This window comes from Homo sapiens, chromosome X, assembly GCF_000001405.40.
Source record: "Homo sapiens chromosome X, GRCh38.p14 Primary Assembly".
Taxonomy (NCBI): Eukaryota; Metazoa; Chordata; class Mammalia; order Primates; family Hominidae; genus Homo; species Homo sapiens.
Genome location: NC_000023.11, coordinates 132145695 through 132162916, shown reverse-complemented (window position 1 = coordinate 132162916; position 17222 = coordinate 132145695). Strand labels below are relative to the sequence as shown.

At 38.3% G+C, this 17222-nt stretch overlaps 2 annotated features.

Moving 5' to 3' along the window:
- Window positions 484-1040: an enhancer, noted in NCBI's record as "NANOG-H3K27ac-H3K4me1 hESC enhancer chrX:131295905-131296461 (GRCh37/hg19 assembly coordinates)". NCBI's record gives its function as "activates a minimal SCP1, AML or CMV promoter by ChIP-STARR-seq in naive H9 embryonic stem cells {active_cell/tissue: H9 hESC(naive)}" and the evidence as "EXISTENCE:reporter gene assay evidence [ECO:0000049][PMID:30033119]".
- Window positions 1041-1599: an enhancer, noted in NCBI's record as "NANOG-H3K27ac-H3K4me1 hESC enhancer chrX:131295346-131295904 (GRCh37/hg19 assembly coordinates)". NCBI's record gives its function as "activates a minimal SCP1, AML or CMV promoter by ChIP-STARR-seq in naive H9 embryonic stem cells {active_cell/tissue: H9 hESC(naive)}" and the evidence as "EXISTENCE:reporter gene assay evidence [ECO:0000049][PMID:30033119]".

Below are 17222 nucleotides of genomic sequence, written 5' to 3'. Positions count from 1 at the left end.
CCCTCATGTTCAAGCTTCCACAAATCTCTAGGGCAGGGGCAAAAATGCCACCAAATTTTTGCTAAAACAAAACAAGCATCACCTTTGTTCCAGTTCCCAACAAGTCCCTCATTTCCATCTAAGACCACCTCAGCCTGGACTTTATTGTCCATATCGCTATCATCATTTTGGGCAAAGCCATTCAACAAATCTCTAGGAAGTTCCAAACTTTCCCACATTTTCCTGTCTTCTTCTGAGCTCTCCAAACTGTTCCAACCTCTGCCTGTTACCCAGTTCCAAAGCTGCTTCCACATTTTCGGGTATCTTTTCAGCAATGCCCTACTGTACTAGCACCAATTTACTGTATTAGTCCATTTTCATGCTGCTGGTAAAGACATACCCAAGAGTGGGCAATTTACAAAAGAAAGCAGTAGTTGGACTTACAGTTTCACATGGCTGGGGAAGCCTCACAATCACGGTGGAAGGCAAGGAGGAGAAAGTCACGTCTTATGTGGATGGCAGCAGGCAAAGAGAGGATGAGGAACATGCAAAAGCAGAAACCCCTGATAAAACCCTCAGATCTCGTAAGACTTATTCACTACCACAAGAACAGTACAAGGGAACCACCCCCATGATTCAATTATCTCCCACCAAGTCACTCCCACAACACGTGGGAATTATGGGAGTACAATTCAAGATGAGATTTGGGTGGGAACACAGAGCCAAACCATATCAGACTTACCTATGAATTTTTGACTGTAGAAAATTCAGGGCAGAAAGGAGGAGCCAAGTTGGCCAAATAGGAACACCTCCGGTCTACAGCTCCCAGCGTGAGCGACGCAGAAGACGGGTGATTTCTGCATTTCCATCTGAGGTACCGGGTTCATCTCACTAGGGAGTGCCAGACAGTGGGCGCAGGTCAGTGGGTGCGCGCACCGTGCACGAGCCGAAGCAGGGCAAGGCATTGCCTCACTTGGGAAGTGCAAGGGGTCAGGGAGTTCCCTTTCTGAGTCAAAGAAAGGGGTGACGGGCAGCACCTGGAAAATCGGGTCACTCCCACCCGAATACTGCGCTTTTCCCACGGGCTTAAAAAACGGCGCACCACGAGATTATAACCCGCACCTGGCTCGGAGGGTCCTACACCCACGGAATCTCGTTGATTACTAGCACAGCAGTCTGAGATCAAACTGCAAGGCGGCAGCGAGGCTGGGGGAGGGGCGCCCGCCATTGCCCAGGCTTGATTAGGTAAACAAAGCAGCCGGGAAGCTCCAACTGGGTGGAGCCCACCACAGCTCAAGGAGGCCTGCCTGCCTCTGTAGGCTCCACCTCTGGGGGCAGGGCACAGGCAAACAAAAAGACAGCAGTAACCTCTGCAGACTTAAATGCCCCTGTCTGACAGCTTTGAAGAGAGCAGTGGTTCTCCCAGCACGCAGCTGGAGATCTCAGAACGGGCAGACTGCCTCCTCAAGTGGGTCCCTGACCCCAGACCCCTGAGCAGCCTAACTGGGAGGCACCCCCCAGCAGGGGCACACTGACACCTCACGCGGCAGGGTATTCCAACAGACCTGCAGCTGAGGGTCCTGTCGTTTAGAAGGAAAACTAACAAACAGAAAGGACATCCACACCAAAAACCCATCTGTACATCACCATCATCAAAGACCAAAAGTAGATAAAACCACAAAGATGGGGAAAAAACAGAACAGAAAAACTGGAAACTCTAAAAAGCAGAGCGCCTCTCCTCCTCCAAAGGAACGCAGTTCCTCACCAGCAACGGAACAAAGCTGGATGGAGAATGACTTTGACGAGCTGAGAGAAGAAGACTTCAGACTATCAAATTACTCTGAGCTACGGGAGGACATTCAAACCAAAGGCAAAGAAGTTGAAAACTTTGAAAAAAATTTAGAAGAATGTATAACTAGAATAACCAATAGAGAGAAGTGCTTAAAGGAGCTGATGGAGCTGAAAACCAAGGCTCGAGAACTACGTGAAGAATGCAGAAGCCTCAGGAGCTGATGCGATCAACTGGAAGAAAGGGTATCAGCGATGGAAGATGAAATGAATGAAATGAAGCGAGAAGGGAAGTTTAGAGAAAAAAGAATAAAAAGAAATGAGCAAAGCCTCCAAGAAATATGGGACTATGTGACAAGACCAAATCTACGTCTGATTGGTGTACCTGAAAGTGATGGGGAGAATGGAACCAAGTTGGAAAACACTCTGCAGGATATTATCCAGGAGAACTTCCCCAATCTAGCAAGGCAGGCCAACGTTCAGATTCAGGAAATACAGAGAACACGACAAAGATACTCCTCGAGAAGAGCAACTCCAAGACACATAATTGTCAGATTCACCAAAGTTGAAATGGAGGAAAAAATGTTAAGGGCAGCCAGAGAGAAAGGTCGGGTTACGCTCAAAGGGAAGCCCATCAGACTAACAGCGGATCTCTTGACAGAAACCCTACAAGCCAGAAGAGAGTGGGGGCCAATATTCAACATACTTAAAGAAAAGAATTTTCAACCCAGAACTTCATATCCAGCCAAACTAAGCTTCATAAGTGAAGGAGAAATAAAATACTTTACAGAAAAGCAAATGCTGAGAGATTTTGTCACCACCAGGCCCGCCCTAAAAGAGCTCCTGAAGGAAGCACTAAACATGGAAAGGAACAACCGGTAACAGCAGCTGCAAAATCATGCCAAAATGTAAAGGAAGAAACTGCATCAACTAACAAGCAAAATAACCAGTAACATCATAATGACAGGATCAAATTCACACATAACAATATTAACTTTAAATGTAAATGGACTAAATGCTCCAATTAAAAGACACAGACTGGCAAATTGGATAAAGAATCAAGACCCATCAGTCTGCTGTATTCAGGAAACCCATCTCACGTGCGGAGACACACATAGGCTCAGAATAAAAGGATGGAGGAAGATCTACCAAGCCAATGGAAAACAAAAAAAGGCAGGGGTTGCAATCCTAGTCTCTGATAAAACAGACTTTAAACCAACAAAGATCAAAAGAGACAAAGAAGGCCATTACATAATGGTAAAGGGATGAATTCAACAAGAAGAGCTAACTATCCTAAATATATATGCACCCAATACAGGAGCACCAAGATTCATAAAGCAAGTCCTGAGTGACCTACAAAGAGACTTAGACTCCCACAAATTAATAATGGGAGACTTTAACATCCCACTGTCAACATTAGACAGATCAACGAGACAGAAAGTCAACAAGGATACCCAGGAATTGAACTTAGCTCTGCACCAAGCGGACCTAATAGACATCTACAGAACTCTCCACCCCAAATCTACAGAATGTACATTTTTTTCAGCACCACACCACACCTATTCCAAAATTGACCAGATACTTGGAAGTAAAGCTCTCCTCAGCAAATGTAAAAGAACAGAAATTATAACAAACTATCTCTCAGACCACAGTGCAATCAAACTAGAACTCAGGATTAAGAATCTCACTCAAAACCACTCAACTACATGGAAACTGAACAACCTGCTCCTGAATGACTACTGGCTACATAACGAAATGAAGGCAGAAATAAAGATGTTCTTTGAAACCAACGAGAACAAAGACACAACATACCAGAATCTCTGGGACGCATTCAAAGCAGTGTGTAGAGGGAAATTTATAGCACTAAATGCCCACAAGAGAAAGCAGGAAAGATCCAAAATTGACACCCTAACATCACAATTAAAAGAACTAGAGAAGCAAGAGCAAACACATTCAAAAGCTAGCAGAAGGCAAGAAATAACTAAAATCAGAGCAGAACTGAAGGAAATAGAGACACAAAAAACCCTTCAAAAAATTAATGAATCCAGGAGCTGGTTTTTTGAAAGGATCAACAAAATTGATAGACCGCTAGCAAGACTAATAAAGAAAAAAAGAGAGATGAATCAAATAGACACAATAAAAAGTGACAAAGGGGATATCACCACCGATCCCACAGAAATACAAACTACCATCAGAGAATACTACAAACACCTCTACGCAAATAAACTAGAAAATCTAGAAGAAATGGATAAATTCCTCGACACATACACTCTCCCAAGACTAAACCAGGAAGAAGTTGAATCTCTGAATAGACCAATAACAGGAGCTGAAATTGTGGCAATAATCGATAGCTTACCAACCAAAAAGAGTCCAGGACCAGATGGATTCACAGCTGAATTCTACCAGAGGTACAAGGAGGAACTGGTACCATTCCTTCTGAAACTATTCCAATCAATAGAAAAAGAGGGAATCCTCCCTAACTCATTTTATGAGGCCAGCCTCATTCTGATAACAAAGCCAGGCAGAGACACAACAAAAAAAGAGAATTTTAGACCAATATCCTTGATGAACATTGATGCAAAAATCCTCAATAAAATACTGGCAAACCGAATCCAGCAGCACATCAAAAAGCTTATCCACCATGATCAGGTGGGCTTCATCCCTGGGATGCAAGGCTGGTTCAATATACGCAAATCAATAAATGTAATCCAGCATATAAACAGAGCCAAAGACAAAAACCACATGATTATCTCAATAGATGCAGAAAAGGCCTTTGACAAAATTCAACAACCCTTCATGCTAAAAACTCTCAATAAATTAGGTATTGATGGGACCTATCTCAAAATAATAAGAGCTATCTATGACAAACCCACAGCCAATATCATACTGAATGGGCAAAAACTGGAAGCATTCCCTTTGAAAACTGGCAAAAGACAGGGATGCCCTCTCTCACCACTCCTATTCAACATAGTGTTGGAAGTTCTGGCCAGGGCAATTAGGCAGGAGAAGGAAATAAAGGGTATTCAATTAGGAAAAGAGGAAGTCAAATTGTCCCTGTTTGCAGATGACATGATTGTATATCTAGAAAACCCCATCGTCTCAGCTCAAAATCTCCTTAAGCTGATCAGCAACTTCAGCAAAGTCTCAGGATACAAAATCAATTTGCAAAAATCACAAGCATTCCTATACACCAATAACAGACAAACAGAGAGCCAAATCATGAGTGAACTCCCATTCACAATTGCTTCGAAGAGAATAAAATACCTAGGAATCCAACTTACAAAGGATGTGAAGGACCTCTTCAAGGAGAACTACAAACCACTGCTCAAGGAAATAAAAGAGGATACAAACAAATGGAAGAACATTCCATGCTCATGGGTAGGAAGAATCAATATCGTGAAAATGGCCATACTGCCCAAGGTAATTTACAGATTCAATGCCATCCCCATCAAGCTACCAATGACTTTCTTCACAGAATTGGAAAAAACTACCTTAAAGTTCATATGGAACCAAAAAAGAGCCCGCATCACCAAGTCAATCCTAAGCCAAAAGAACAAAGCTGGAGGCATCACACTACCTGACTTCAAACTATACTACAAGGCTACAGTAACCAAAACAGCATGGTACTGGTATCAAAACAGAGATATAGATCAATGGAACAGAACAGAGCCCTCAGAAATAATGCCGCATATCTACAACTATCTGATCTTTGACAAACCTGAGAAAAACAAGCAATGGGGAAAGGATTCCCTATTTAATAAATGGTGCTGGGAAAACTGGCTAGCCATATGTAGAAAGCTGAAACTGGATCCCTTCCTTACACCTTATACAAAAATCAATTCAAGATGGATTAAAGACTTAAACATTAGACCTAAAACCATAAAAACCCTAGAAGAAAACCTAGGCATTACCGTTCAGGGCATAGGCATGGGCAAGGACTTCATGTCTAAAACACCAAAAGCAATGGCAGCAAAAGACAAAATTGACAAATGGGATCTAATTAAAGTAAAGAGCTTCTGCACAGCAAAAGAAACTATCATCAGAGTGAACAGGCAACCTACAAAATGGGAGAAAATTTTCCCAACCTACTCATCTGACAAAGGGCTAATATCCAGAATCTACAATGAACTCAAACAAATTTACAAGAAAAAAACAAACAACCCCATCAAAAAGTGGGTGAAGGACATGAACAGACACTTCTCAAAAGAAGACATTTATGCAGCCAAAAAACACAAGAAAAAATACTCACCATCACTGGCCATCAGAGAAATGCAAATCAAAACCACAATGAGATACCATCTCACACCAGTTAGAATGGCAATCATTAAAAAGTCAGGAAACAACAGGTGCTGGAGAGGATGTGGAGAAACAGGAACACTTTTACACTGTTGGTGGGACTGTAAACTAGTTCAACCATTGTGGAAGTCAGTGTGGCGATTCCTCAGGGATCTAGAACTGGAAATACCATTTGACCCAGCCATCCCATTACTGGGTATATACCCAAAGGACTATAAATCATGCTGCTATAAAGACACATGCACATGTGTTTATTGCGGCATTATTCACAATAGCAAAGACTTGGAACCAACCCAAATGTCCAACAATGATAGACTGGATTAAGAAAATGTGGCACATATACACCATGGAATACTATGCAGCCATAAAAAATGATGAGTTCGTGTCCTTTGTAGGGACATGGATGAAATTGGAAATCATCATTCTCAGTAAACTATCGCAAGAACAAAAAACCAAACACCGCATATTCTCACTCATAGGTGGGAATTGAACAATGAGATCACATGGACACAGGAAGGGGAATATCACACTCTGGGGACTGTGGTGGGGTGGGGGGAGGGGGGAGGGATAGCATCGGGAGATATACCTAATGCTAGATGACGAGTTAGTGGGTGCAGCGCACCAGCATGGCACATGTATACATATGTAACTAACCTGCACAATGTACACATGTACCCTAAAACTTAAAGTATAATAAAAAAAAAAAAAGAAAAAAGAAAATTCAGGAAGATTCTCCTCATGATATTAGTTTTTATTAATTTTTGCATGACATAAGTTTTATGGTATTAGTGTTTATTACATTTTACATACAGTGTGAGGTAAGGTTCAAAGTTAATTTGTTTTCTATATGGATAGTCAGTTATTTCAGCACTATTTATTGAAAAGATTATCCTTTCCCCAGTGAATTCTTTTGGTACCTTGTCAAAAAAATCAATTGACCACATTTGTAAGAGTTTATTTTGGAATTATCCATTCTGTTCCCTTAATCTATGTCTACCCATAGATGAATACTGTACTATACTGTCTTGATTACTGTATCTTTATAGTAAATTTTGAAATCAGGTAATGTAAGTCCTGCAAATTTGTTCTTCTTTTTCAAAATTATTTTGCCTATTCTAGATCCTTTGTATTTCCATAAAAATGTAAGGATCAGCTTGTCAATTTTTAGGAAAGGTCTGCTGGGATTTCATTGATCCCATGGATCCATAGATCCATTTGTGGAGAATTGCCATCTGGCAATGCTGAGTCTTCCAAGCCATGAACATAGAATGTCTATCCATTTATTGAGATCTGATTTCAATTTATTTTGTACTATCCTGTAGTTTTAACTTTAGAAATAATGTACTTCATTTGTCAAATTTATTCCTAAATTGGCCAGGCATGGTGGCTCACACCTGTAATCCCAACACTTTGGGAGGCCGAGGCAGGCAGATCACTTGAGGTCAGGAGTTCGAGACCAGCCTGGCCAACATGGCAAAACCCTGTCTCTACTGAAAATACAAAAATTAGCTGGGCATGGTGGTGCATACCTGTAATCCCAGCTGCTCTGGAGGCTGAGGTAGGAGAATTGCTTGAACCCATGAGGCAGAGGTTGCAGTGAGCCGAGATCATGCCACTGCCCTCCAACCTGGGCAATAGACTTAAAAATATATATATATTTCTAAGTTTTGATGCATTTTTTTTTCTTGAGACAGGGTCTTTCTCTGTCACCCAGGCTGGAGTGCAATGATGCTGTCATAGCTACTGCAACGTCAACCTCCTGAGCTCAAGTGATCCTCCCACCTTAACCTCCCAAATAGCTAGGACTACAGGTGTGCACCACCATGCCCAGCTAATTTTTTATTTTTTGTAGAGACACAGTCTTGCTACGTTTCCCAGGCAGGTCTGGATCTTGAACTCCTGGCCTCAAGCAATCCTTTTGCCTCAGCTTCCCAAAGCTCTGGGGTTACAAGCATGAGACTCCATGCTCCAATGCTATTTTTAATGAAATTGTTTTTTTAATTTCATTTTCAGATTTTTCACTGTTAGTATATAGAAACCAAATTTATTTTTGTATAATGTTCTTATATCCTATAAACTTGATAAATTTATTAGCTCTAGTACTTTTATTGTTAATTCCTAAGGATTTTCTAATGAATAATTATGTCATCTATGCACAAAGACAATTGTATTTCTTTCTTTCCTATCTAGATTCCTTTAATTCCTTTCATTTATTATTTATATTTTCTTTTTGCCTTATAGTGCTGGCTAGAACCTGAAGTACAATGTGGAATAGAAATGGTGAGAATAGACGTTCTTTCCTTCTTCTTGACTTTAGGGAGGAAAGAATTCACTATTTCACAATTAACACTGTTACTAGTTGTATGTATTTCATAAATGCCTCTTATCAGGTTGAGAAACCACCTTTCCTTTATATTCCTAGGATTTTTAAGTTTTAATCATGAATGAGCATTGGATTTTTCTGCATCTATTAGGATAATCATGTGGTTTACTAGTCTTTTATCCTATTTTTATGGCATATAAATTTTATATTGCTGCTGTAACAACTATTACAAACGTGTAGCTTGAAACAGCACAAATTTGTTGTTTTACAGTTCTGTATATTAGAAGCCCAACATAGGTTTCAATGGACTAAAATTATGATGTTAGCAAAACTGGATTCCTTTCTCAAGGCTCTATGGGAGAATCTATTTCCTTGCCTTTTATGCCTTCCAGAGGCTTCCTGCATTTCCTGGTCCATGTCCTTCACCCTCCATCTTTCAAAGCCAGCAAAGGTAGGTCCAATCCATCTCACATGGCATCATTCTGACTCCTTTCTCTTTTGTCTCCCTCTTCCACTTTTAAGGATGCTTGTGATTACATTGGGCCTTCCTAGATAGTCCAGCAAAATCCCTTGATTTTATGGTCATCTGAGTAGCAATCTTAATTACATCTGCAACCTCAATTTCCCTTTGACATGTGATGTAAAAAATTCACAGGTTTTGGAAATAAAAATATGGATTTTTGGGGGGAACCATTATTCTGCCTACCACAGCATGCCATCTGACCCCCTGAAAGGTAAATGTTTATCTTATATGTAAAATACATTCACCCCATCCCAAAGTCTTCAAATGTCTCATCCCATTGCACTATTAACTCAGAGTTAAAGAACATCTAAATCTTATCAGCTCAAAAGTCCCAAATCTCATCACCTTAACAATCTACATCAAGTATAGATGAGGTTCTGGGTATAATCCATCCTAGGACACAATTCCTCTTCAATCTATGGACCTGTGAAACGCTGGCTCCCAAAATATTATGATGGTATGGAATAACTGTCATATACATTCCTGTTCAAAAAGGGAAAAAGTTTAGTTAAAAAAGGAGTCACTGGTCTCAAGCATTTTCAAAATCAATAAAGGCACACGTGATTTGCTTTAAAGACCTGCAAATAACCCTCTGTAGCCAGTGGCTTCACCCAGTGGACAAGCAGTTCTGGGTTCATGCATCCACGCTCTGAGTCATCTTTTCTTTTTCATGAAGTGCAGCACGTTTGCAGGTGGTTACTTTCATTAGCCTGTTTCTTGCATGTAGAATTTTGGGGCTCTGACAGCCCTTTTTTTAATTTCATACTCTGTCCTTTTCAGTACAAGCTGGCAGCGTTTATCCTTGTATAAAATTCTCAAAAACCTTGTGCATCTCCTATGTTTGTCATGGGGATTTACTCCACTAAGCAAGAGGCTCCTTCACAGATCTTTTCTAATTTATCTTATCTCTATTTTTGGCTTTTGCAGAAATGGCTGAGGGTATCTATAAGTCACACTCTAATTTCCTCAAAGAGCCTTCAGTGTGGTGGAACACACTGATCTGTTGATCTTTTTGCAGTGTGAGCAAAAATTTGTCCAGCCACAGCCTCAGCTTTTGTTCTAGAACACACTTTCCTATACGTAAATCTCTTAATTGTATTATCTTTTGCAATCTGGATAGGCTGGGAATTTCCCAAATCACCAAGTCCTGGTTCTATTGTAACAATTTCCCCCTCAGTTTATCTTTTTCCTCTCATATTTTGTTATAACCAGCAAGAAGACAGGCTGTACCTTCGACACTGGGTTTGGAAACCTCAGCGCAATGTCCAAATTCGCAGAATTCTGCTGAGTTTTCTTCCACTGTATAACAGGACCCTGTTTCTCCCAGTTTCCAGGAACATTTTCCTCATTTCATTTTGAGTCCTCACTAGTGTCACCTTAAACATCCATATTTATTTTCTTTTTCATTTTTTAAACTTTTATTTGAAGTTCACAGGTACACGTATAGGTTTGTTATATAGGTAAACTTGTGTCATGGGGCGTGTTTCATTACCCAGGTAGTAAGCCTAGTACCCATTAGTTATTTTTCCTGACCCTCTCCCTCCTCCCACCCTCCACCCTCCAATAGCCCCCAGTGTGTATTAGTCCCCTCTATGTGTCCATGAAACATCTATATTTCTAATAAAAGTGTATTTACAATGATTTATGTAGTCACTAAGATGATATATGTTTTCTTTACCACAATCCTCACTTTTTTCTGAACCTTCATCAGCAGAATCTTTGATGTCATATTTCTATTAACAGTATGGTCAAGGCAATCTAAGTTTTTAAAATCAAGCTTTTCAAATTCTTTCAGCCTCTGCCCACTGTTCAATTCCAAAGCCACTTCCACATTTTAAGGTATTTGTTATGACAGCATCCCACTTCTAAGTATCAAAATCTATATTAGTTTTCTACTGCTGATGTAACAACTAACAACAAACTTAGTGGCTTGAAACAGCACAAATTTATTATCTTACAGTGTGGTACATTAGAAGTTTAATAAGGATCTCACTAGGCTAAAATCAAGATGTTAGCAGAGCTGTGTTCCTTTCTGTAGGCTTTATGGAATAATCCATTTCATCGCCTTTTACACCTTCCAGAGGCCATCCATGTTTCTTGGTTCATGACCCTCTTCCTCTATTTTCAATGTCAGCAGTGACAGGTCCAGTTCTTCTCATGTGGCCATCATTCTACTTCCTCTCTGCCCTCCTTCTCCCACTTCTAAGGATTCTTATGATTACATTGGGCCTACCTGGATAATCTAGCATAATTTCCTATTTTATGATCAGCAGATTAACAACATTAATTCCATCTGCAACCTAATTTCCCTTTGGCATGTAGTATAACATATTCACAAGTTCTGGGGATTAAGACATGGATAGCTTTGGGGAACCATTATTCTGCCTACCACCTGTGTTACATTAATCTATTTTCTAGTTGTTAAACCAGCTTTTCATTATTAGGATAAATATCACTTGGTCATGTCGTATAATTCATTTTTTATATTGTTGAATGGAGTTTGATGTTCTTCAGAAGGATACTGCTCTAGGGTTTCTTTTCTTGTGGTGTCTTTGCTTTTTGTATCAGGGTTATACTGGCTTCTTAGAAAGAATTAGAATATATTCTCATCTCAATTTTCTGAAGGCATTTATGAAGGATTGATTTTTTATCTTGAGTTAATTTGCCTAGCCTGGGCTTTTCTTCATGGAAAAATATTTAGTTTCTAATTCAATTTTCGAGTAGTTATGGGTCTATTCAAATTTTAAATTTCTTCTTAAGTCAGTGTTGGTAATTTACGTCTCTTTTCAGAATTTTCTCATTTCATCTAAATTGTCCAATTCATTGATATAAACTGGCTTACAATACTACCTATAATCTTTTTAATTTCTGTAAAATCTGTAGTGATAGCCCCTTTTATTCCTGATCTTCTCTTTTTTTTCTTCATCAGTTTAGCAAGGATTTGCCGATTTTGCCAATCTTGTCAAAGAACCAACTTTTAGTTTCCTAGATTTTCCCTGTTGTTTTTCTGTTTTCTTTTTCTATTTCATTTATTCCTGCTATAATCTTTATTATTTGTGTCCTCTTGATTGCTTTGGTTTTTAGTTTGCTCGGCATTTTCCAGTTTCTTAAGGTTGAAGCTTAGGCTATCGATTTGAGATCTTTCTTCTTTTCTGATACAAATGTTTAAAGCCATAAATTTCCTTCGAAGCACTGCTTTAACTGCATCTCATATATTAAATATTTGAATATATTAAATAATTTTTATTCAAATCAAAATATATTTTTTAGAATCCTAGTTATTTTTATTAATCAATTATCCAACACATGCTAATTGTATTCAAGGCACTGTGCAAGATGTTGAGAATCCAGAGATGAGCTTTTAGTTCATCCATCTCGCCTCTCCTTCTGTCTACATATGTCCATAGGGTGATGAACCTGGAAAATCATGCTTATAAAGTTTGTGGAAACCTCAGTATTCTGAAGAGAGACATAGAGGCTGTTAAAATGCAGGAGTATTGAGTGACATTTCAGGAGCTCTAGTCGCCAAACCTTCTCTTCCTCTTATGGGCACCTATATCCATAATGAAGAGCAATTATACATGACACACGACTTTTTATTCTATGTCTGACCCTGGGACTGTGATGGAAAGAAGAAAAGTTGATGAAGTCATTGCCCTCCAGCTCTCTGATCACCAAGGAGGGATGGACACCTCCCTCTTCTTTGTTTCTCAATGATTCAGTATGTCTGGCTGGGGTTTTCACTGACTCTTTCACACCATTCCTCTTCCCTGGGCATGCAGCCTTGGATTAGCAATCAGTGGTCAGGTCCTCTGACTCCTCCTCTCAGTGGTCCCCTTTTCTAGTCCTGCCTTGTCAGTCTTTTAACTTCAATCAACTCCTGCTGTTGTCTCCAAAATCAAAATATTTTAATTGCTCTTCTGATTTTTCCCTTTGGTCCATAGAAGTGTTTTATTAATTTTCAAATATTTGGGCTTTTCCCAGGGTACTTTCTGATGTAGATCACTAAATTAATTATGTTGTGCTCATAGAACTTATTTAAATAATTACATCTTTCCAATTTTATTGAGACTTCTTTTATTGAGACTTAATTTTTCCCTTTGATCCATAGAAGTGTTTTATTTAATTTTCAAACATATGGGCTTTTCCCAGGTTCCTTTCTGATGTGGATCTCTAAATTAATTATTTTGCACTCAAAGAACATATTTAAATAACTGCAATCTTTTCCATTTTATTGAGACTTGTTTTCTGGCCCAGTGCATGGTATATCCTAGAATATGTTCTATATGCATTTAAAAGAATGTGTATTCCATAGTCAATGGGTGGAGCATTCTAAAAATGGTAATTAGGGCAAGTTGGTTAATAGTGATGTACAAGTCTGTGTATCTTTGCTTATTTTCTATAAGTTATGGGCAGTGGGATATTGAAATATCTAACTATTATTGCTGTTTACCTATTCCTCCTTTTAATTCTGTCAGGTTTTGCCTCATGTATTTTGAGGTCCTGTTGCTAAGTGCATATATGTTCATATTCCTTACATCTTCCTGATGGATCTACCTTTTAATCATATAAATGGTCTCTCTTTGTTTCCAGTAACATTTCTTGTCTTAAAGTCTCTTATGATATTAATAAAACCAATATCATTTTTATGGTTTTTATGTGGGATAATTTTTTCCATCATTTTATAAACATTCAACCTATGTATTTATTTGACTCTAAGTGGTATCTGTTCTAGACAGGATATAGTTGGAGCTTGCTTTTGTTTGTCTTGGCTGATAATCTCTGACTTCTGAAAGGGATGTTTATTTCATGCACATTTAATACACATTGATATGGTTAGATTTATGTCTGCAATTTTGTCACGTTTTTCATCTGTTTCATTTTGTTTATGCATATGTTGCTCTTCACTTGCTTTTCTAGGTGAAATAAATATTTTTAGTGTATAATTTTAATTTATCTATTGCTTTGTTATTTACTATATTATTTTCTTTTTTATTTAAATGAGTAACATAGGCATTTATTATCATTATCAAGTATTATGTATGATACATCATTGTATGTGCTATACTTTTTTTTTACTATACTTTAAGTTTTAGGGTACATGTGCACATTGTGCAGGTTAGTTACATATGTATACATGTGCCATGCTGGTGCGCTGCACCCAATAACTCGTCATCTAGCATTAGGTATATCTCCCAATGCTATCCCTCCCCCCTCCCCCCACCCCACAACAGTCCCCAGAGTGTGATGTTCCCCTTCCTGTGTCCATGTGTTAATGCTCTTGAATTTACAATATGCATCTTAGCTTATTACAGTTGACTGAGAATAATGCTAATTTAATTTTAGTATAAAATTTTACTCAAGTATGTCCCTTTTTCTTCCTCCTGCCTTTTGCTACTACCATCATATAGTATATCGATATATGTTGTAAACCCAATGATATAGTGTTATATTTATTAGTTTATACAATTGCATGTCTTTTTTAAAAATTGAGAGGAAATTAGAAGTAATATATTTATAGAAACTTTTGTATTTACCAACAGGTATACCATTTCCATAACTCTTTATTTCTTCCTGGAAATTCAAGTTATCATCCGCTGTCATTTTCTTTCAGCCTGAAGATTTCCTTTAGAATTTCCTTTCAGGCAGGCTAGTGACCAACAAATTCTCCCGGTCTTTGTTTATTTGAGAATGCCTTTGTTCTACCTTCATTTCCTAAGGATAGTTTTCTTAGACACAGAATAGGTGGTTGAGAGTCTCTCTCTCTCTCTCTCTCTCCTCTATTCACCTGTTTTGAATATGTCATCTCATTACTGCCTGGTCTGTATCATTTCTGATATGAAGTCAACCATTAATCATATTGTTGTTCTTATGTACCTGATGTTTTTCTTGCTGCTTTCATTTCAATATTTTATATGTTTCTGTTTTTTTATAGTTGGCTCAGGATATTTTTAGGTGTGGATCTCTTTGTGTTTATCCTGCTGGGGGTTGGAGGGGTCAATGAGTTTCTTGGATGTATAGATTAATTTTTAAATCAAATTTGGGAAAATTGCAGCCATTATTTCTTAAAATGTTTTCTGTTCCTTTCTCCTCTCCTCTAGGACTTCCATTATACATATGTTAGTAGATTTTATGGTTTTCACAAGTCTCTAAGGCTCCGTTCATTTTTCTTTATTCCTTTTTCTTTCTGTTCTTCAGATTGCATCTTCTCTATTGTTCTATCTTCAGGTTCACTGATTCTTTCTTCTGCCAGCTCAAACCTACAATGAGCCCCTAAAGTGAACTTTTCATTACAGTTATTTTACTTTTCATTTCCCAAATTTGCATGTGGTACTTTTGTATAAATTATATGTCCTTATTGAGATTCTCTATTTTCTGCGTCATTGCCATCATACTTTCCTTTAATTTTTTAAACATAAGTTATTTGCTTCAGTTCTTTAAACATATTCATGATGGCTGCTTTTAAGTATTCTCTGCTAAATTTAATATCTGGGAATATTCATAAACAGTTTCTATTAACTGATTCCTCCCCTGTCAAGTATAGGTCACACTTTCTTCTTTTTATGCATGTCTTATAGTTTTATTGTTTAATATTGGATATTTTGGATAATATAATATAGCACTTCTGAATTCTGACCACCCCAAGGGTATTGTTGTTCTGTTTTGTTTTGTTTGTTTTGTTTCTTTGTTGACTGGGCTTAATCTTTACAATCTGTTACCCCAATGATGTACAGCCACTGGTGTCTTTATTTCGTTTTTTCCCTTTGTTTTTATTTTAAAATCTGGATTTTTAAGGGTGATCACTGGGCCTTCATAGCTTCTGATAGACCAAATATTGGTTAGTAGTTGCGTTCAAACATCTTATGCCAGAAAGATTTTCTCTCTCTGCTGATGTATCTCTGTGTGTACTGGGAAAACATTTAAACTTCAGACTGTTTTGAAGTCTTCCAAAATTTTTGCTTTTTGCCAGGCTTTTTCATGATTTCTCTGGGGGTGTTTACTGTCTCCATCAACCAGGTATGTGTGGGTGGCTTAAGTCTACTCCAATCTCTGCTGCACATGTGCACATCTTCTTATTAAGCCAGGATATGTGAAAAACATATCAGCATCCTATGACTGTCACCTCCCCAAAAACCTTGTTACATTCCCAGCTAGTCCACTGGTATCTTGCTTGCCCAAAATAGGCACACAACCTCAGGCTAATGGAGCCATTAGCTATTCCTATTCACTTGTTACCTAGTTTGCCACTGTAACTATGTATGCTGCCAATCAAGTGAGCCCCTCCCACTGAGGCATCACAACCGCTGGTTTGCACAGCCTTCCTCACCCTGGTTTCATTATACCACATACAAAGCTGGGAGGTGGTGTCTAGAACTATCCCCAGGCAAAACTACCAGAAACATGCTGCTCTTGTACAAAGTTCAGTAGTTTTCACAAATAAATACTTCTCAGTTTGCTTTGTACCTTTGTTTGAATTCCAGAATGTTGAAATGGTTGTTTTTCACTATCTTGTTTAGCTTTATAGTTGCTTTTTGAGGAGAGAATTTCTCTACCTCCTGTCGTGCCAGAACTCCTGTACTATAATAGATATTTTAGAATGACTTTTATCTTTTGGCTTTGCTAAACTCAATTATTACTTTTCATAGCTTTTTGTATATTCCTTAGCATTTTTATGCATACAATCATACCATTGGCAAATTGGTTAATTTTACTTCCTCCTTTCCATTCTGTATGCTTTTATTTTTTTTCTTGCCTTACTGCATGAGCTGAGACCTACTGTATTAAATTGCATAGGAGAGGTGAGATCAGACAACCTGTCTTTTTATCTGATCTTATAGAGAAAGAATCAGTCTTTTACCATTAATTATTATGTTATCTTTACATTTTTTATAGACCAGCAATGTTTTGAAAAACACACATAATCCTTGGATAAACAAGAAAAGATGATGAATTGTAAGAAGATAGTAAACTGTGGCCAAAGGCAAAATCTTCTATTATCTAGCTAAATGACCTCGAGCAAGTCTCTCCACCTCAGTTTCTTCGTCTCTAAAATGTGGAAGGTTGAACTGACCACAGGTGATCAGTGGTTTTCAAACTTTAAAAAAAAATCCTTTCTTAAAAGTGTTTTCCATGAAGTCTAATATTTAAAAAGAATAAAATAAAATCTGATCTGGTCCAGTAGAAGTAGGAGTGGTAGTACTGAATCCCAAGTTACTCATGCTCTCTGCCTGTCCTTTTACAATGGGAGGTACTGCCACAGAGGCAGTAGGGTTCTGTGAATGGAATGGAGTTTGAAAGGAGACACATAACATT